Source organism: Homo sapiens, chromosome 12 (genome assembly GCF_000001405.40).
Source record: "Homo sapiens chromosome 12, GRCh38.p14 Primary Assembly".
Lineage (NCBI taxonomy): Eukaryota > Metazoa > Chordata > Mammalia > Primates > Hominidae > Homo > Homo sapiens.
In genome coordinates this window covers 82,896,964-82,919,582 of record NC_000012.12, presented here as the reverse complement: position 1 = coordinate 82,919,582, position 22,619 = coordinate 82,896,964, and the positions used below count along the sequence as shown (strand labels likewise).

The 22,619-nt window shown below is 38.3% G+C and overlaps 1 protein-coding gene across 6 annotated transcripts in view; it reads right to left on the bottom strand.

The window, feature by feature from the left end:
- Positions 1–22,619, bottom strand: part of TMTC2 (transmembrane O-mannosyltransferase targeting cadherins 2) — a 447,961-nt gene that overhangs the window by 215,284 nt on the left and 210,058 nt on the right. The gene's annotated exons all lie outside the window — the stretch shown is intronic.

Below are 22,619 nucleotides of genomic sequence, written 5' to 3'. Positions count from 1 at the left end.
AGGAATTTGCCTCTATACAGATCATGCCTTGAGCATCACCCATATCTCATTTAGATACGACTCTGGACTTTGGATTTTTGAGTTGATGGAAACAAGTTAAGGCTTTTGGGACTTTGGGGATGAAATGAATGTATTTTTGCATTATAAGAAGGACATAAATTTTGGGTGCCTGGTACAAAATGTATGGTTTGCATGTGCCCTGAAAACTCAGCATGCTGTAAACTTAATTCCCAATGTAACTGCATTGGGAGGTAGGTCCTAATAAGAAGTGACTGGGTCACAAGGGTGAAGCCCTCATGGATGCATTAATGTTAATACATGAGTGGGTCAGTTTTCACTAGAGTGAACTGTTATAAAAGCAAGCCCAGCCCCTCATGCTTTTTCTCTCATATGTGCTCTCTTTCTCTTTTGCCTTCTGTTACAGTTCAACCCTTGCCAGATGCCAGCACAATACTCTTGGACTTCCCAGTCTCTAAAACTGTGAGCCAAATACATGTCTTTGTGTTGTTTTGTTTTGTTAAAAAAGAGGCTGGGTGTGGTGGCTTACGCCTGTAATCCCAGCACTCTGGGAAGCCAAGGCTGTCGGATCACAAGGTCAGGAGCTCAAGACCAGCCTGGCCAACATGGTGAAACCCCATCTCTACTGAAAATACAAAAATTAGCCAGGCGTGGTGGCAGGCACCTGTAGTCCCAGCTACTCAGGAGGCTGAGGCAGAAGAATCACTTGAACCTGGGAGGTGGAGGTTGCAGTGAGCCGAGATCGCACCACTGCACTCCAGCCTGAGCAACAGAGCAAGACTCTGTCTCAAAGAGAGGGAGAGAGAGAGAGAGAGAGGGAGAGAAAGAGAGAGAGAGAGAGAGAGAGAGAAGAAAAGAAAAAAGATAAAATAAAAAGATAAATGAATTTCTTAATATTTAATTTTTACCTATTTAACATTCAGGTCTGCATAAGTAATCACTCCTCTTTGGGTTATCATCTCAGCATTTTCATTTTACTAATACACTGCACAGTCACTAAATGTGGTAAGGACTCTCATTCTTGTTTCGTGCTTCAGCTATAATTCATTTTAAACCTTACAAATTTAACATATGTCTTTGTCCCTATATGAAAATCTTGAGTTCTATGTAAGAATCTGCCAAAATTGAAGTACTTAACTGCATTAAAAAGGGGATAAATCCTAAATTTTGCTTCCACCAACGCTGAGTTACTTGTTTGAAATCAAAGTGTTACTTCCATGAGGAGGTAAAAATTGCAATCTTGCCAGTCATCTATCACAAACCGTCTGCAAAAGAAAATAACTTATTTGCACTTAATATAGTAGTGCTTAATATATCTACTAAGAATTGTTTTTATTCAGATTAAAAGCCAATTTTGGCCAGGCGCAGTGGCTCATACCTATAATCTAGTACTTTGGGAGGCCAAGCTGGGCGGATTGCTTGAGTCCAGGAGTTCAAGACCAGCCTGGGCAACAGGGTAAAACCCCAATAAATACAAAACTTAGCCAGACATGGTGATGCATGCTGTAGGCTGGGGTGAGGGAATCGCTAGAGCCTAGGAGGTCAAGGCTGAGGTGGGAGAATGCCTTCAGCCTGGGAGGTTAAGGCTACAGTGATTTGTGATGGCACCACTGCACTCTAGCCTGGGTGACAGAGTGAGACCCTGTCTCAAAAAAATAAAAGCTGGCCGGGAGCAGTGGCTCACGCCTGTAATCCCAGCACTTGGGAGGCCAAGGCGGGTGGATCACGAGGTCAGGAGATCAAGACCATCCTGGCTAACACGGTGAAACCCTGTCTCTACTAAAAATACAAAAAAATTAGCCGGGCCTGGTGGCAGGGGCCTGTAGTCCCAGCTACTGGGGAGGCTGAGGCAGGAGAATGGCATGAACCCTGGAGGCGGAGCTTGCAGTGAGACGAAATGGTACCACTGCACTCCAGCCTGGGTGACAGAGTGAGACTCTGTCTCTAAATAAATAAATAAATAAATAAATAAAATAAAAGCCAATTTTAAGCTAGACTTGTGTATGCATATGTGATCTCTCCTAATCCTCATAACAAATGAGCTTACATTATCATCCAGTTTGTACTATTAATAGAAGAAGAAACCATGCCTTACAGAAGTGACACTCAAAAAGATAAGAGAACAAAAAGATGTGTCTGTCTGGTTCCAAAGTCCTTGCCTTTAACCATAATGGAAGTCTTGGACTTTGGATGTGCCCCATGAATGGTCTTACCAGCTACAATTTAAATAAATATTATTTTAAAATATAAATGTTAATTATGTTAAACTTTCTAATGTCAATGGAGAGAGAAAAAAAGGAAAAAAAGAAAACAAAGGGAGGAGAAAAAGAGCCATTTAACTGCATGGAACTGAAAACGAGCATGAATGTGTTGTTGCTGTTTTTTAAAGTAGACTGTCTTCCCACTCCATCTATTAGCAAAGACTATGGGGCGGGGTCAACACTTGTAGACTGAGCATTTTACTAATTGTATGATAGTCACTTCATGTGACTCCAGGGAAATAAGAGCCTTTGTAAGCCTACAGGAATTTATTTTTTCTGAAGAAATTATACCTCGGATTATTACAGAAAAGAACATAATAGTAAGTAGGTAAATAAAACAGATATAGTTAAAATATTAAGTAGAAGAAGTGGCTATGATTTAAAGATCATGATTCATATGTTATCACAACACATATCCTATGTACTTATATGTAATTCTAATTACAGGAATTCTACAAGATACAATTATTTCTCTTTCCCCTATCTGTAGTTATTTCAGATAGATCTGAAACTAAACGTATTCCCAATAAGAAAAAAATTTTAATGTAAACATAAAATTTAGTACTTCAATAATATATTAACACTGTTAGTCTAGACAGCATTATTTGTCACTATAACATCTATGTGCATACTGTAATATCCACATGTATAATCCAGCACCCATGTTCGTTTTGTTTTAGTGTATCTACGGTTGTTCCTTGGCATTTTACCATCTGCAATCTCTACCATATTCCTGAATTTGACTATGAGCCATCCTCACATCCATGGCTCAGGTCTGCTGCCAGTACCACTCATAGTGTTCGATTTTTATTTTGGGGTTTGCATGCACTTGTCTTCCATCCATTTCTTCTCTATGCAAAATTTTTCCCATGGCTTCTCAATTTTGCCCTATGTCCCTAATAACAATGTGCTCTACACAGTTTCTGACAAACTAGCACATGGTATTATAGTAAAGACAATTAATATAACTGCATTTTCAAATATAATGACTGGCCAAAGGGAGAGAATTTGGGAGCAACAAGCCTTGAGGCTCTCCTCAAATCACAGGCAACAAACCTATTTTGCCTATCACACTGTCAAAAGTAGTTAATGGAACACTTGGGGAATATATATACTAGAATGTCATAAATAGTGGTCCTGTTTATGTAACAACTATACCAATTCAGTAAAGGCTTTTTAGAAATTCCTCATATATGGCTGATCGCATAGCCCATGCAGTCATCCAACCAGTACCTTTTTTAATTATTATTTTTCTGTTTTAAATTTTTTCTCCATAAATACTGGGTCTTTCTATGTTGATCAAGCTGGTCTGGAACTTCTGGCCTCAAACAATCCTCCTGCCTTGGCCTCCCAAAGAGCAGGGATGACAGACGTTGAGTTGCTGTACGCAGTCTTGATTATTAACAATGATAGATTTTGTCTTCCATTAAAATACCAGTTCCTTTTGATTTATGGTAAATCCCAAAGAGTACAAGTTGCCTCTGAGTTTGTATCAGGAATAGAATTGTCTCCAAGCAGCCCTTACAGCTTGCTTCTAACACAATTGGGATCATTTGAGTTTGGTTCAGGTATAAAAGATGAAGAACCCTTAGAAAGACCAAGAGTTCTTAGACGACTTGTACAGAATTACGATTTCCAAACAACTTCAGGGGGAACAAAAAGAATCCATTTTCTCCCTTAAATTCCCTTTTTAATTTTATCGCCCAAACCACATCTGTTTTATCTCACAGTGGATCCAGCCATCAGGTATGTTCCTGCCACCTAATGGCCCGAGGCCCGAGGTTAGTTTCCTACTATAAGTCACTAAAGGAACTTTGATACAGAAACATAAAACAAAATGTCCGAAATCTACGTTGTAGTACTAGCCCTGTTACCAGTTAGATTTGGGTACAACCAAGTAAATTACTTAACTCTTCTACTTCCTATTTCATAGTAAAAGCAATAATTTAGTAAATATGTAATGTGGGACAAACCCTGGGCTAGGTATGCTATGCATAACCACAAGATGGTATTGCTATACTCACTCTATAGATGATAACACTAATAAGGAGGAACAATAACCACTATAAATGAGTTATAATCAATACCCACATCTACCTTACTGCAAAGTTTGGAATCTTTAACCATGCTCCTTAAGCATCCTGCCTCTCTTAGTTTCTCATCTGTAAAAGAATTGTAAGGCCGAGCACAGTGGCTCATGCCTGTAATCCCAGCACTTTGGGAGGCTGAGGTGGGCAGACCACCTGAGGTCAGGAGTTCGAGACCAGCCTGACCAACATGGAGAAACACCATCTATACTAAAAATACAAAATTAGCCGGGCGTGGTGGTGCATGCCTGTAATCCCACCTACTCAGGAGGCTGAGGAAGGAGAATCACTTGAACCTGGGAGGCAGAGGTTGCAGTGAGCCAAGATCGCACTATTGCACTCCAGCCTGGGCAACAAGAGCGAAACTCCGTCTCAAAAAAAAAAAAAAAAAAAAAAAAATAAGTGAGTTGTAATGATGCTTGCCTAAACTAAACTCTGAGTCACATATTAAATTAACATAGATGTGTAACTCCTTGGAAAGCACATTATTATGGAGATGGTATATTTCATTAATGGATTATTATATACTAAAAGCATAACCAATTCGATATACACTTTTATAGTAAATCTGCCCTATTCATTATCTATGCTCATGCTACTGAGAATCGCATTGCCAACCAAATCCAGGGCAACAAAAACATAACTAAAGGCAATATTGAATACTCTAAAGGTCAATTTTAAGATTTAAAAAATAATGAAAATCCTAAAGATTGCATCTTATTTTAAAAATCTGCTTATAAGTTATAAATATAGTACCTCTCAAATATAGTACATCAGGGAGAATATTCCATGTGTTAACTTCTATATGTTAATTTTTGGCATTCACTGTGATCAATCCAGTAGCTAGTGTTGAACAGGGCAAAAGTAAATACTAGAGAAAAGAGAATTTTTTTAAAAAAAAGAAATGATGAGTAAAAAATGCAAATAAAATATTTATGTGAGTAGAAAAATATTTACATGTGCTAATGAGGACAATTATTTGTAAATAACTGAGATCTCTAAAATAAAATATCAATTATCTTTGCTATATGCAAAAATCTTGGGCACGTATCATTTTAAAGCATTTCTTCTGTACTTTCAGTTGATTTAACAACAGAAAAGAATGGGAAGTTAATTTTCTTTGCCTTCTTTGCTGGTACAGGACAAGCAGACAAGAATTCTGAAGACTGTGCAAATACATGTCACCCTTGAACAACATAGGTTTGAACTGCCTGGTTCTACTTATATGTGGATTTTTTTTTTCAACCAAACACAGACTGAAAATACAGTATTTGTGGGATTTGAAACCCACGTATAAAGAGTACTGACTTTTCCTATATTCTGGTTCTGCAGGGCCAACTGTGGGAATTGAGTATGCAGGGATTTGTTTTTAAGTGTGTGGTCTTGGAACCAATCCTCCACATATATCAAGGGACAACGGTACTTGAGTATGAGCCATTTTTGTATGAACTGAAAAACATGATATTGAAATAGAGAATGCTGTTATACATATAAAAGTCTTGAAACTACAATTCAGAAAGTTATACTTCCATGTATTAAAAAGAAGCTAGTACCCAGAGGGTTAAGTAAGATAGAGGAAAAATCAGGAAATATGTCAAAACCAGTGATTAATGAATATTACCAATTAAAAAATATGACTAGATGTGTGGTCTTAGATATAAAGCCATATATTCTATTCATGAGTTTTAAATAATCTTGTCAGATTATTGACATGTCAGGATGATTAAAACTCATAGAGAAGCCACATTTTCCTTTCAAATAATCAGAACTGGGTCTTAGGATATACTTCTTTAAACCCTAATTTTTAACTTAAAACCTCAAAAGTAAATGTCTGCTCCAGGCTCAATGTGAGAATGAGCTGAGAACCAGCAAAAGCCAAAACCAAAGTATGATGGTCCTCTGCCCAAAGCAGTGCACAGCCTCTTGCTTCTGGAATGGTACCACAGAGAACAGAAGCATGGCATTAGGACTTTAGTGACTTCATCAACTGCCCTCAAAAACTATCTCAAAATCATTGTGCTAAAGTGTAATGGCAAAAGAAATTTTAAAATTCTGTACTGTTGCTTCCAAATAATAGCATTTCAAGAACAAAAAGTAATTTTAAATTTATCACTGTGATTAGAGATAAGAAAAATGCAGAATACATGGGTTTGTACAGTAATCGTAATATACTAATGTTTTCATTATGCAAGCACAGAAACTCCTTTCTAACTTAAAATTATTGTAAATATTTACATGAATATGAATATTACCACCCATTCTTTTTTTTTTTTTTTTCAGACAAGGTCTCAACTCTGTCACCCAGGCTGGAGTGCAGTGGCGTGACCATAGCGTACTGCAGCTTCGACCTCCCCAGGATCAGGTGATCCTCCCACCTCAGCCCCCCAAGTAGCTGCAACTACAGGTATGCACCACCACACTCAGCTATTTTTTGAATTTTTTGTGGAGACAGGGTTTCACCATGTTGCCCAGGCAGGTCTCAAACTCCTGGGCTCAAGTGATCCACCCATCTCTGCCTCCTAAAGTGCTAGAATTATAGGCGAGAACCACTGCACCCAACCACCATTCATTCTTAACCACAATTGTGAAGGTAACATGATGCCATCATCTTTGGAAAATATTCAGATTACTCAACACCAGTACTGCAAACCATCAAAACTTGTTTGCAAATCTCAAAGAGATTAAGTCAACTGACTTGGTGAAAAAGGAAAACATTTCAAAATATCTTAGACCTTGTGGTCTTTGCTGGTAGTCTCATGAAATACAAGTTGAGATATTTACTCTCTTATCCTAAGCAAGGAGAGGTAAGAAGAGCAGAAAAAAAATCACATTTCTTTATGATATGACTTCCAAGTTCCTACACAGAGCCCCAAATATTAAACGACTGTAAGTTTCCTCTGCTATTCCAGGCATCTTAAGAAGAAAACGCCATGCTTTGACACCTGGGTAATCTGTTCTTGTCAAAACTTGACTCTGAGCTGATATATTACATTTCTAACCCAGTTCCTTCTTTCTACACTTAAAATGTCTACAGAGAAATTTTTCATAATTAAAACATATGTTTAAAGTGCTTCCAAAAAAGATATTAATGCTGATATTTTAATATCTTATGTGTTTTGCAAAAAGGAACTGAATTATGCTGTTTAAGATCACTGAAAGAATGGGCTGAGAGGCAGCTGGTATTATTGGGAATTAGAATCCTTAAATACAAGACAAAATAAAACCTCCAATACAGTTCTGCTCTCAAGATGATGTTTTTGTTGTTCTAAATTTCCTTCTAGGTACTGTCTAACCAAATCCGAGTATGGGCTGGACGAGGTGGTTCACACCTGTAGTCCCAGCACTTTGGGAGGCCTATGCGGTCAGATCACTTGAGGACAGGAGTTTGAGACCAGCCTAGCAAACATGGCAAAACCCCATCTCTACTAAAAATACAAAACTTAGCCAGGCATGGTTAATTACAGGCGCACACCTGTAATTCCAGCTACTGGGGAGGCTGAGGCACACGAATCACTTGCACCGGGAGGCAGAGGTTGCAGTGAGCCAAGATCGTGCCACTGTACTCCAGCCTGGGCAACAGAGCAAGACGCCATCTCAAAAAAAGAAAAGAAAAAAATAAATAAGAATACGGCTTATACTTAGAAAACAATATTATCATTCTTTAAAAAAGAACGTCTAATATGTTTGATCATTATTTCATTTTGAGCAAGCACATGATATTTATGTCCCTCCTAGATCCCCTTGGATGATAATGTTAAAACTGCAAAGAAATTTACACTGAGAAGCCATGGTCAAGTGATGATGATAACAGAGTGCTGGGAAGGGAAGAGAGTGGTCCCTTTAAATGACACAGAGGCTGGAGGTGGGCGGGGGTGGGGGAAGGGCTGGGTAGAGGAGGGCATGGTTCCTTGCTAGGGCTCCACCCAACAGACCTAGGGGAGGACAGGCACTCCTGCCTTCCTGCCCAAATGTTGCATTTTCCAAGACCACCCTGGCCCCCCCACACCCAAACCCTGGGGCTGTAAAAACCCGAGACCCGCCGGGCGCAGTGGCTCACACCTGCAATCCCAACACTTTGGGAGGCTGAGGTGGGTGGCTCACAAGGTCAGGAGATAGAGACCATCCTGGCTAACACGGTGAAACTCTGTCTCTACTAAAAATACAAAAAATTAGCCGGGCATGGTGGCGGACGCCTGTAGTCCCAGCTACTCGGGAGGCTGAGGCAGGAGAATGGCGTGAAACCGGGTGGTGGAGGTTGCAGTGAGCCAAGATCACACCACTGCACTCCAGCCTGGGCGACAGAGCGAGACTCTGCCTCTGTCTCTAAAAAAAAAAAAAAGAAAAAAACAACCCAGAGACCCTAGCAGGCAGACACACAGAAGCTGCTGCTGGATGGCAAGAGGAACACATCTGCAGAAAATGACAAGAGGCTGGACACAGACAGGGGCATACCAGAAGGACATCCACCAGCCAAATGAGGCAGAGTTTGGCCGGAGCAATCAGAGGAGAGCCCAGGCTGGGGAGCAGCCGGACTCCATGGGAAATCCATCTCCCTTCTGGCCCTCCGTCTGCTAAGAGCTACTTCTTAATCAAACCTTCCACTCATTCTCCAAGCCCACATGTAATCCGATTCTTCTGATACACCAAGGTAAGAAACCCTGGGATACAGAAATCCCTCTGTCCTTGTGATAAGGAAGGGGGTCTAATTGAGCTAACACAAGCCGCCTATAGAGGGCTAAACTAAAGGAGCATACTGTAACATGCCCACTGGGGCTTCAGTAGCTGTAAACATTCACCCCCTAGGCACTGCCGTGGGGTTGGAGCCTGGGGTTGGAGCCTGCCTGTCCGTATGTTCCCCTAGAGGTTTGATCAGAAGAAGTGAGCCACACCCTCTTCACACGCGCTGTGAGGGGGACAGGGGAAATTTTCCCATTTCAGTAAGATTTCTAATTTAATGCCCACATGCATAAAAATTAAAATACGGCTCACACTTCCTCTACATCAAATCCTTTTACAATAATTATATGACTTGAATATCTCAATTTTTTCCATAACTTCTTGAGACTTATCTGGAATTCTCTTCAAAATCCATGATCACCAGAAATAGGCACCAGTGCGTGATAAGGCTAAAACTAAGACAGGTGTTTGTCCTCTCGAAAATCTGCTCTTTAACAATATCAGCAATTGTATCTATATTACAGAAAGGAAGGAACATATTTTACCCTGCTTTAGAGGGTTCAAATACCTGTAATTTGATAGTGTTTTTACACATATTTTTAGCTTCTTTTAAGTTTTCTTTTGCTGAAAGAGAATTAAATATTTCAAAAATAGTAGCTCTGATCTTAACTCTATTCTCAAATAGAACTTCTAACATAGCTAATCATTCCTTAATAGGTGTCAGATTTGAAGATATTTCATAGGTCTCATTTTCTGACAGTATAGTGAAACTCTATGTTCAGAGAATCACACCTTGTACAGAACCAATAAAAATGCTACATTAAAAATAAAAATATTTGCAAATGAATGTATTAATTGGTTGGAAAGTAAGGGCAAACCTGAAGTCTAAAAACTTCATGAGGCCAGGCACGGTGGCTCATGCCTGTAATCCCAGCACTTTGGGAGGCTGAGGCGGGTGGATCACAAGGTCAGGAGAATGAGACTGTCCTGGCTAACATGGTGAAACCCCATCTCTACTAAAAATACAAAAAAATTGGCAGGGTGTGGTGGCACGTGCCTGTAATCCCAGCTACTTGGGAGGCTGAAGGAGGAGAATCACTTGAACCTGGGAGGTGGAGGTTGCAGTGATCCGAGATCGCACCACTATACCCCAGCCTGGGCGACAGAGTGAGACTCCATCTCAAAAACAAACAAACAAAAACCTTCATGAATGCAGGACTCCAGAAAAGTAAACTAGCTGTGAAGATGGTATTCACCTTGCATACACTAGATCTGTCAAACAGATAAACCTAGGTTTAGGCTTTAATGAACTTCATGCAGGAGGTCACACTGCAGAAGCCACATAAACTGTGATCTGCCTGAAAGGAAACAGACTTCATCACTTAACTAGCAACAAAAAAATTTAAAAAACTTAGAGAATGAAAAGATGGGTGACTGTTTGGCCTATTTGGACAAACAGAAAATAGGCAAAAATATTCCTTGGGAATTCTTATGCGTAGGTCCACCTTCACAAAGTTTGGGGCAATACTACATCTGTTGCCTGAAGAGTATCCAAGCAAAAACACTTTTAAAACTACAATTGTAGCAGAGATTTTTAGAAAGATATTACAAGAATATTATGTGTAACATTGTACCAATTGAACAAAACACAGAGAAAAAAGTTACTAAAACTGACCCAAAAGCAAATTTGGCTCTTTCCAAAACTATGAAAGAAATTAAATCAACAGGAAAAAAAAAGAGTCATCTATAACCAAAACATTATGCCTAGCTAGTTTTGCAGGTAAATTCTACCTAATATAGAAGAAAAAAATAATTCTAATTTTACATAAAATCTTTGAGGGAATGAAAAAGAAGTAATGCTCCTAACCTGATTCTATAAGGTTAAGATCATTGATTTTAAAACCAGAATATGACACCACAAGAGAGAAACTGACAATCACTCAGAAATACAGATGAAAAACAAATGTAGAAGAAAATGGGAATGATAATACATTATAATCAATTCCTGGGCTTAATCTAGGAATGCAAAACAGGTTCAACATTAGAAAATCTATTAATATAATTCATCAAAGAGACTAAGTGAGGAAAACCTATCATCATCAATATTAATTCATAAAATAGTTCTTAAACTAGAAATGAGGAAAACTCTACTGATAAAAGTTACCTACAGAAAAAACTGTAAGTACATAAAATCAATGGTGAAAAAATCAAAAACCATTTTTTAAACAAGAAATAAGGAGAAGTATAGGGAAAGGTCCTCAAAGACACTGGTAATATTCCTTTAATAAGCTACAGAATAGATATTTCAGTAGTATTCCTTAAACTATACAAATATGATGTATATGCATACTTATATGACTATGAATGATATATTTCATATATATTTAATAAAAGTAAAGAAATGTTAGGGCTTTTGTTTTTGTTCTGTTTTGTTTTGTTTTGAGAGGGAATCTCGCTCTGTTGCCCTCGGTACAGTCTCGGCTCACTGCAACCTCCGCCCCCTGGGTGCAAGCAATTCTTCTGCCTCAGGCTCCTGAGTAGCTGGGACTACAGGTGCCTGCCACCATGCCCAGCTAATTTTTGTATTTTTAGTACAGATGGGATTTCACCATATTGGCCAGGCTGGTCTCGAACTCCTGACCTCATGATCTGCCCACCTCGGCCTCCTAGAGTGCTGGGATTACAGGCATGAGCCACCGCGCCTGGCCTAGGACATTTTTAAGAAACACAAAAATATGGAAATCAGAAAAATTTACCTTCATGCTTAATCATATGCTAGTCTCAAGTATTTTAGCATATAAACCGTGATAAATATAATCTAAAGTAACTCTAATTTTAAGGTTTGAAGGTTTCAAAAGCCCATAAAGATTCTAAAAGTTTTGTTGTGGGTAATTTTAAGAGTCAGCAATATGGCACCCACTTCATCTATAATACATCACAGGACCACTTGCACTGAGTCTGTTGTGGTCTGGATTTTTTTTCCTGCCCCACAAAACTGTACTTGAAATCATTAGAGTCAGACAACAGGAAAACATTTCTGTGTCAATTCATTCTTTTTTTTTTTTTGAGATGGAGTTGAGAAGGAGTCTCACTCTGTCACCCAGGCTGGAGTGCAGTGGCACAATCTCAACTAACTGCAACCTCCACCTGCCCGGCTCAGGCAATTATCCTGCCTGAGCCTCCTGAGTAGTTGGGACTATAGGCGCGCACCACCACGCCCAGCTAATTTTTTGTATTTTTAGTAGATACAGGGTTTCACCATGCTAGCCAGGCTGGTCTCGAACTCCTGACCTCATGATTCACCCGACTTGGCCTCCCAAAGTGCTGGTATTATAGGCATGAGCCACCACGCCCGGCCCCAATTCATTCTTAAAGGCGTCTGAACTTCTGCAACTCCCCCATCCCAAATGGAAAACAACCATACTTGATTTCTTCAAGAATCAAATATTTAAAATGGGCCTTAATTTAACAATTTAGTAAATGTAAATCTGCTTTTAAAAAATATTTCAGTCTAGTTCAGCCAATGAGATACCTTCCTTTTATTCTTGCCAGCCCTGTTGTTTATCTATTTTTTTCTACTCAATAGAGAAGATATGGACTGAGAAGACAAAACACATAATTTCCTTATGGAAACCAGATTTAACTTCCTGCTATTTGTCTCTCAATCAGCCTTTATTGGTGGGATGCTTTTAGCTAGTTTCTCTTACCAAGGCTCTCTGGTAAAAATGAAAAGCTGTGTTTTACAGCACAACTCAGGCCAGTCAGTTTCAACAAAATACTATAGTGGTTTTCCTCCTTGATTTAACTAGTAAATTTCTTTTTTCTTGTTTTGTTTGTTTGTTTGTTTTTTGAGACAAAGTCTTGCTCTTGTCCCCCAGGCTGGAGTGCAATGGCACGATCTCGGCTCACTGCAGCCTCCGCCTCCTGGGTTCAAGCAATACTCCTGCCTCAGCCTCCCGAGTAGCTGAGGCAGGAGGCGCCTGCCTCAGGCGGGTTTGAGGCGCCCGCCACCAAACCCGGCTAATTTTTGTATTTTTAGTAGAGATGGGGTTTCACCATGTGGGCCAGGCTGGTCTCAAACTCCTGACCTCATGTGATCTGCCTGCCTTGGCCTCCCAAAGTGCTGGGATTACAGACTTGAGCCACCGTGTCTGGCCTTAAATGGTAAATTTCATGTTTTATAAAAATCTGAACTTCTGTTGAAAAATTTTTATCTTCCCTTGGACATATCATGACAAATTATTGGTGAAATATAATAATAGAATTTGTTACACCATTTCAAAGCTAGCTGGTTAATTACAACTCATCATAGTTAAAGACACTCAATTCGAGGTAAACAAAAGCTTAGACTATAAAATCCACAAGGAAATAGTCAATTTTTACATGGCTTAGAGGCTTGAGTTTCACTTAAATTGTGAGTTATTTCCTAAATGATATTCCTACAACATACTTGTTTCTTAAAATTTGATGCCATGTTAAATTGAAATAGAACCACCAATTTTGCAGGAATCTATGAAGGAAAAAAATTGTCAGACGCTGCAAAATTGAAACAATTTTGACTCTCTCTTTTTCCTTTCTCTTTTTTTTTTTTTTTGAGACAGAGTTTCGCTCTTGTTGCCCAGGCTGGGGTGCAATGACGCGATCTCGGCTCACTGCAACCTCTGCCTCCTGGGTTCAAGCGATTCTCCTGCCTCAGCCTCCCGAGTAGCTGGGAATACAGGCGCCCGCCACCATGCCCGGCTAATTTTTGTATTTTTAGTAGAGACAGGCTTTCACCATGTTGACCAGAATGGTCTTGAACTCCTGACCTCAGGTGATCCGCCCGCCTCGGCCTCCCAAAGTGCTGGGATTACAGGCGTGAGCCATGGCGCCTGGCCAACTGTGTTTTTCTATATCTAAAAAGGTAATGTTTGTCATTTGCACTGGGGGAGTGAATGCAGACTGCTAGGATAATCACCTTGAAAGTTCCAAATATGTATGAAATTTTACATATATCTTTTGTATTTATCATTTCACATATTTACATTAAAAATGGGCATTAAAAACAACCTTTAGCACTTAAGTTTTCCTCAGATTCACTCTTAATTGTTCTTAACTATTTAAGAAATTGCTTTCAAACAATTAACCACCATAGTCATATTTTTTTAAATCAAATTGACATAGAGTTAACAAACCATTCTCAGAACCTATTTGATTTTGAATCTATAACCTAATTTTAAAATGCCTTTAGCAAGCCAGATGTGCTGCCATATATACTACAATTATTTTATGTTTATGTGCTCACTGATCTGCTTATCTATAACTTTGTTGGCCTGGGATTATGATGTTAATTAATAAGGAAGTTTGCAAGAAGTTGATTTCAGGGAAGAGAGGTGACCAGTTTGAGATCCCGGCAGATCACCCAGGTGGAAAAGTTCCTCATAGATAGGCGGTCACAAAGAACATAACTTAGAAATTCAATTGTATATTTATTGACCCCTACTATATACCAAGAAATGTTCTAGATACTGTAGGGAAGGGAAAATAAAGGCAGGTTTTAGGAAAAAAAAAAAAAAAAGAAACAAAAAACTTGAAGAATGGATTAGTTTAGGGAGGAAGCAAAAATCATAGAAGAGAGAAAGCTGTCGGAAATTGGAGAAAGATAGTCAAAACCAAGCAGTGGCTTAAAAGCTATGGTAACAGAGATCAATGGTGCCAAATTCTACAGAGACTAGAGCCACATGGGGATTTAGAGGAGGCCACAGCAAAAAGGGTGATCACACATTTAACTGCTTTGTAATGAATCAAGAAATTCTTTCTTTAAGCAAATACGAATCAATATGGCTTTAAAAATGAGTTGCTTTAAAGGCGAACGGGGGAAACACTTTCAGATATAATGTGGCTTGCTCATTAAGGCGTCATCAGAGAAAATTTGCTTTTTCCTAAGCACAGAAATGCAAAGAGTCATTGTGAAATCAGCAAACTACAGTAATCAACTATGTCTAGTATTTTCCTGATATTATAAACCACATAATGAGACAGGACTTGTGGTTTACATAGTCCAAATCAGCTATCATTTCTCCACTATCCAGATTTAAACCATAAATTAGCAGCACAGTCACTATGACAGGGTTTACTCATCGTCATTTGCATCCAATCAGTTAATGACTGGCAGCTGTCTACAGGACCCATTACTGAAGGCAGCAGTTTTAATGCATACTGTTTCATGAGGCTTAAAATCATATTCCATTAAAGCACATGGTAGACTGAAGTATTCCAGAATTTGCAAAGGCTTTCAAAGGAAGAAAAAAAATCCTAACTCCATCTGTAATCTCAGAAAACCATACATACATAAGACTGGCTTTATAGGGTTTCTAATGTTTTACTTAGGTTCAAATAATGTATTAGACTAAGAAAATCTGCCTTAAGGAAGATTACTGACAGTCTCATAATTGCTAAGGAAGTAACTACAGCCAGAATTATTATTAACATCTTATAAACAGAAAAAAATATAAGAAACCTGGATTGGAAGAGTTTTGCCTTGTATCAAAATGGAAGCATATGTCACACACAGATGCAGTCACACAATCCGAAACTAACTCTACTCCCGATTCTAACCCTCTCATGATAAAGCATCCCTCACTACCTGGCATATCAAAGGCATAATATTTCACACTTTTGCCTTATTTCATGCATGTACATTATATCTGTAAACAGATCATGAACTCCTTAAAGAGAAGGACTATGACTGTAATAATACTGAACATATCCATTACTGAATGCCTTTGCTTTACCAGGCACAGTCCTCGTTGCAGCATCTATGCCATTTTTTAAAATGTAAAAATATCGGCGGGGCGCGGTGGCTCACGCCTGTAATCCCGGCACTTTGGGAGGCCGAGGAGGGTGAATCACGAGGTCAGGAGATCGAGACCATCCTGTCCAACACGGTGAAACCCCGTCTCTACTAAAAATACAAAAAAAATTAGCTGGGCGTGGTGGCGGGCGCCTGTAGTCCCAGCTACTCGGGAGGCTGAGGCAGGAGAATGGCGTGAACCTGGGAGGCGGCGCTTGCAGTGAGGCGAGATCGCGCCACTGCACTCCAGCCTGGGCGACAGAGCGAGACTCTGTCTCAAAAAAACAAAACAAAAACAAAACAAAAACAAAAAAACTCTACCTTCTTGTGTTGTACATTCTAGTGTATGCTGACAACACGTTCATACAATGAACACATAATTATAGAAAATATAGTATGTCAAATAGTGATAAGTGCTAAGATAAAAATGAAGCATGGAAAGAGGATAGGGAATGCTCAGTAAGACAGAGGTGGAGGGGTGGCTGTAATTTATAGCAGGGCAGTCAATTTTACATAAAGCACCTTACTGATAATGCAACAATTGGTCAGAGACTTAAAGGAGGTAAGGGAGACCCCAGTGAGAATAACCAGGAGAACACATTGCAGGAAGAAGCAATGACGAAGGTAAAAGCTCTGCGGCAGGAGCTTACCTAGCATATAAAAGGCACATCAAAGAGGCCAGCAGGGCTGGTGTGGAGTAAGGGAAGGAAAGGCTGGTGAGTATACACAGGGTCCTGAGACTGTGTGCATCTATATCTATCATATCTATAATCTATCTAGCTAGCTAGAGTTTTTAAAGTACAGAACTGTTCTAATTTTATTTATTTTTATTTTTTCAGCTTTTATTTTAGATTCCAAGGCTATATGTGCAGGTTTGTTACAAAGGCATATTACATGAGGCTGAGTCCTGGAGCACAACTGAACCTATCACCCAAGAAGCGAGCATAGTACTCAATAAATAGTTTTTGAACCCTTGACTCTCTCCCTCCCTCCCCGCCACTGTTATGTGCCTTCAATTAGAGAGAAACTGGCAGCCAGAGAATAATTGGGGACAGTGGAACACCATGCCCTGACTTGTGTTTCCAAAAGGTCACCATGGCTGCTGGTTAAGCATAGACTTTGAAGGTGAATAGAAGCAGGAGTTCAGCTGAGACATTAAAGAATGTGAAGTTGTCACTCACATCATTACAAAAAGAAAAAGCTAAACAGACTGAAAATCAATAACTTGTCTTGGAACCATCAGTGAACTGGGGTCACAGGGCCAACCACCACCCTGAAATCTAGAGAAAGACAAATCCAGAGACACAGCACAGGAGAGCTTACCTGGAGCAGAAGCTGCTGGAGACAGAAACTGTTAGAAACAATTGACTACTCATTTTGACAAGCTGCTGGAGGCTAAGCATAAACTAGTTTTAGAATCAGAAACTCCTGAGGGTGGCAGTCTTAGGGGACTCCCAAACTTTTGGGGGTTTTCCTTCCCGGGACCCCAACAGAGTGTCATCGGGAAGAGCCAAGAAAGATGTTCTCCTGGCTCTGGCAGTAGGAGAGGAATAAACCTTATGAAATATACCCAGAGCATCTGTCATGACAAAAGACCACTAACTCCGTAAGGGAAAGATCTCAGCCTTGTCCCAGAGCCGTGGGGGAAAACCATTCCTCTCAACTCAGCCCCCTCTAGCCTTTCTGTCTTAACTGGAGTGGGACATAAGGAAAGAGAAGAAACACTTGGTGAAGGTAGTAGCCCAGAGAGGCGAAGATTTAGTCATAAAATAATAGAACATTTTTCCTCCCCCATACCAACAGAGCTGCAGTATAATAATAGTTGATTACAGCTGAAATAGATGCAAAGCAAACTGAGTCTGTGGGAAAGCCCACAGACAACTGGGAAGACCAAAAACAAGGCCACCAGAGGAATGTGGCATCTCTGGCACCCACGGCTATAGCAAAATACAGTCCAACTCCTAACCAGATTTACATAAAATCTCACAATAAAGCCTGTTCACCTCATTTCTTATTACCCAATACATCATGTCTGAGTCGAAAGAAAAAAGTACAAGACATGCTAAAAGGCAAGAAATACAAGCTGGGAGGTGAGGTGAGAGTCTTTTACTAATATTACAGATAAGGCCTGTAATCCCAGCACTTTGGGAGGCCGAGGCGGGTGGATCACGAGGTCAGGAGTTTGAGACCAACCTGGCCAAGATAGTGAAACCCGTCTCTACTAAAAATACAAAAATTAGCTGGGCTTGGTGGTGCATGCCTGTAGTCCTAGCTACTTGGGAGGCTGTGGCCGGTGAATTGCTTGAACCCAGAAGTCGGAGGTCGTGGTGAGCCAAGATCGCACCACTGCATGCCAGCCTGGGCAACAGAGCGAGAATCTGTCTCAAAAAAAAAAAAGAAAAAAAAATATATATATATATATATTACTCTCTCTATATATATATTCCAGATATATATATATTCCTATATATATATTCCAGGTATATATATTCCTATATATATATTCCAGATATATATATATTCCTATATATATATTCCAGATATATATATATTCCTATATATATATTCCAGATATATATATATTCCTATATATATATTCCAGATATATATATATTCCTATATATATATTCCAGATATATATATATTCCTATATATATATTCCAGATATATATATATTCCTATATATATATTCCAGATATATATATATTCCTATATATATATTCCAGATATATATATATTCCTATATATATATTCCAGATATATATATATTCCTATATATATATTCCAGATATATATATATTCCTATATATATATTCCAGGTATATATATTCCTATATATATATATTCCAGGTATATATATTCCTATATATATATATTCCAGGTATATATATTCCTATATATATATATTCCAGGTATATATATTCCTATATATATACCTCTCTATATATATTCCTATATATATATTCCAGAGATATATATTCCTATATATATATATTCCAGAGATATATATTCCTATATATATATTCCAGAGATATATATTCCTATATATATATTCCAGAGATATATATTCCTATATATATTCCTCTCTATATATATTCCTATATATATTCCTACATATCTATATTCCGGATATGTATATACATTCCTACATATCTATATTCCGGATATGTATATACATTCCTACATATCTATATTCCGGATATGTATATACATTCCTACATATCTATATTCCGGATATGTATATACATTCCTACATATCTATATTCCGGATATGTATATACATTCCTACATATCTATATTCCGGATATGTATATACATTCCTACATATCTATATTCCGGATATGTATATACATTCCTACATATCTATATTCCGGATATGTATATACATTCCTACATATCTATATTCCGGATATGTATATACATTCCTACATATCTATATTCCGGATATGTATATACATTCCTACATATCTATATTCCGGATATGTATATACATTCCTACAGATCTATATTCCGGATATGTATATACATTCCTACAGATCTATATTCCGGATATGTATATACATTCCTACAGATCTATATTCCGGATATGTATATACATTCCTACAGATCTATATTCCGGATATGTATATACATTCCTACATATCTATATTCCGGATATGTATATACATTCCTACAGATCTATATTCCGGATATGTATATACATTCCTACAGATCTATATTCCGGATATGTATATACATTCCTACATATCTATATTCCGGATATGTATATACATTCCTACATATCTATATTCCGGATATGTATATACATTCCTACATATCTATATTCCGGATATGTATATATATTCCTACATATCTATATTCCGGATATGTATATATATTCCTATATCTATATTCCGGATATATATATATTCCTATATATGTATTCTTATATATATATTCCACATATATATTCTTATATATATATATTCCACATATATATATTCTTATATATATATTCCACATATATATATTTTCTTATATATATATATTCCACATATATATTCTTATATATATATTCTTATATATATATATTCCACATATATATATTCTTATATATATATATTCCACATATATATATTCTTATATATATATATTCCACATATATATATATTCTTATATATATATATTCCACACATATATATATTCCTATATATATATTCCAGATAAAAGATGGTGGTCACCCAGGCCATGATGCCAACAGTGATGGTGGTAAAAAGTGGCCAAGCTCTGGATGTATTTTTACAAACAGAGCAGAGAGGATCTGCTGATGGAATGGATGTCAGCTATGAAGGGAAAAGAGGAGGTCAACTGTGAAGGGAAAAGAGGAGGCAGGGATGACTTCAGAATTCTCGGCCAGAGCTGCTGGGGAAATGGAGATTCCATCAACTGAGATGGTAAAGCCTGCAAGTAAGGCAGTTGACTGGGCCATGAGTGGGGTGGGGTGTTTCAGGAATTCAGTGTTTGATGTCTGAAAGAACTTATCATGGTAGTGGTCAGCTGTACATTTATTTAGCTAATAATATTTTGGAGTGCCTAAATTCTGCAGCACTTCCTAAGTATTAGGATGGACACCTGAAAATGTTGGAAACCAAGGAAATGTTTAATAATTGTTTTACTTAGTGAATGGAAAAATAAAGAAATGATCAAACATTCTAACTGTGTACCAAAATATCTTATTTAGAATCGTAACTTTCAGCAAAAATACCAGCTAATGCTGGAAAATACCTAAGCGTTACAAAACGTTTTCACTTATTCTGACTGACTGCTACTTATACCCTAGCATCTGAGTATTTGCCCTCTCCTTTTTGCAGTGTAATAAAATTTGGCTGGGTACTTGGCTTCCCAGAATGAAGATAACATTTCCCAGCCTTCCTTTTAGGTAGGTGTGCCCAGTGGTCTGTGAACAAGCATGGTGTGTGCAATTTCTGCAATATGCTCTAAGATCGGGTACACCCACCATTTGCCCTTTCTCCCTCTCTTCCTGTCAGCTGAAGTGCTAATGTGATAATGAGCCATCTTGGACCATAAGGACAGGGTGACACCACTGAGATGGCAAGGGAATAAAAGAGAAATAGCTTGGATTCTGAGAACCCATGGCGCCATCTTATCAGCTCTGTGTTTGCACATACTTAGATTGTCACATGAAAGAATAAAGCTTCTATCTTACTTAAGCCACTTTTGTCTTGGCTTTTTGTAACAGCAGCTTAGCCTGAAACTTAATAAATTTAATAAACCCTCAGAACAACACTGTGATGCAAATAATATGCCAAGAATTTTTTCAATTCCCTATATGTTTTAAACAGCAGGAAAATAAATTGGCAACATAGCCTTATTCTATAACCTTACATCTACCAGTGCAGAAAAACTAGCTGATAATTATTCTGCAAAAACTAATTGTAATGATTTTTACAAGATTTGGGTCCAGGCATTCAATAAACTGTGAAGTACTCGCCACCTAGGAAAAGTCACATGGTAATGATTTTTCACAGAGAATTGAGAAATTACATGCTATGCAGTAGCTCAACTTTAATGCTTCAACTTCCCATTAAAATCCCTGCAATTTATTAAACAGTGTTAAGTACAAGCAATTAGTTCCTTAAAGAAATGTGTAGTTGCTCACTGAATTCTTGACTTAATTTGTGCTCATCAGACAAGCATGCCAAAGTAGCTTTTGGAGTATCTAGGTCTTTATATATATATATATACACCTATTAGCAGGCCATTTTCATATTCTGGAACAGTTTTACACCTTCTTTTAATCCTGATATAGAATTGTGTTGGAAAGAGTAGAAAAATGCCAGTTCAAATGCTATATCAGCAAACATAATTTAAAGAATAAAAATAGGCCAGGTGTGGTGGCTCACACCTGTAATCCTAGCACTTTAGGAGGCCAAGGCAGGCAGATCACCTAAGGTCAGGAGTTGAGACCGGCCTGGCTAACGTGGTGAAACCCCATCTCTACTAAAAATACAAAAATTAGCCAGGTGTGGTGGTGGGCGCCTGTAATCTCAGTGCCTCTGGAGTCTGGAGGAGGAGAATCGCTTGAACCCAGGAGGTGGAGGTTGCAGTAAGTCGAGATCATGCCATTGCACTCCGGCCTGGGCGACAGAGCAAGACCCGGTCTCAAAAAAGAATAAAAATGGCTTATGAAGAACAAGACTCTTTAGTACTATTTACTATGATATATTTCTGCACTAAAAATTTACATCTATTTTTATGTAATTGTCCTCTAGCTTCCAATACATTTAATTGCCTAAACTAGAGTCATCCATTGTCATAGCTTTTGACTTTTTTATTTTAAAGGAAACTACTTTCTACTCTATCGATTCTGAGATTTGCTCAAGTAATTTTCTAAATCTAAAGCAATCATGAATGGTATAATCAAAACTCTCATTATGTAGTGAGAAGTGTGTTTTTCTAAGTGACTTAAGAACTCAAGTAAAAACTTGCTAACTGCTTGGCAACACTCAGATAATTCAGCCTCTGCGCAGCCAAAGGTGACTCATACCTGAATGTGTACACACTGACATCTAGAGACATACTTTCAGGATTCAGAGGCAGTGAAATCTCCAAATCTTTTAAAGGTTTCAATGAAAGTCTTGTATTTCCTCAGGCGATGCTTGGAAAATAGAAGAGCTGAAGTATACTTCAGTGGGATAGCCTAACTTTTATTATATGATAAAAGAGCTGTACCTATCAGTATTT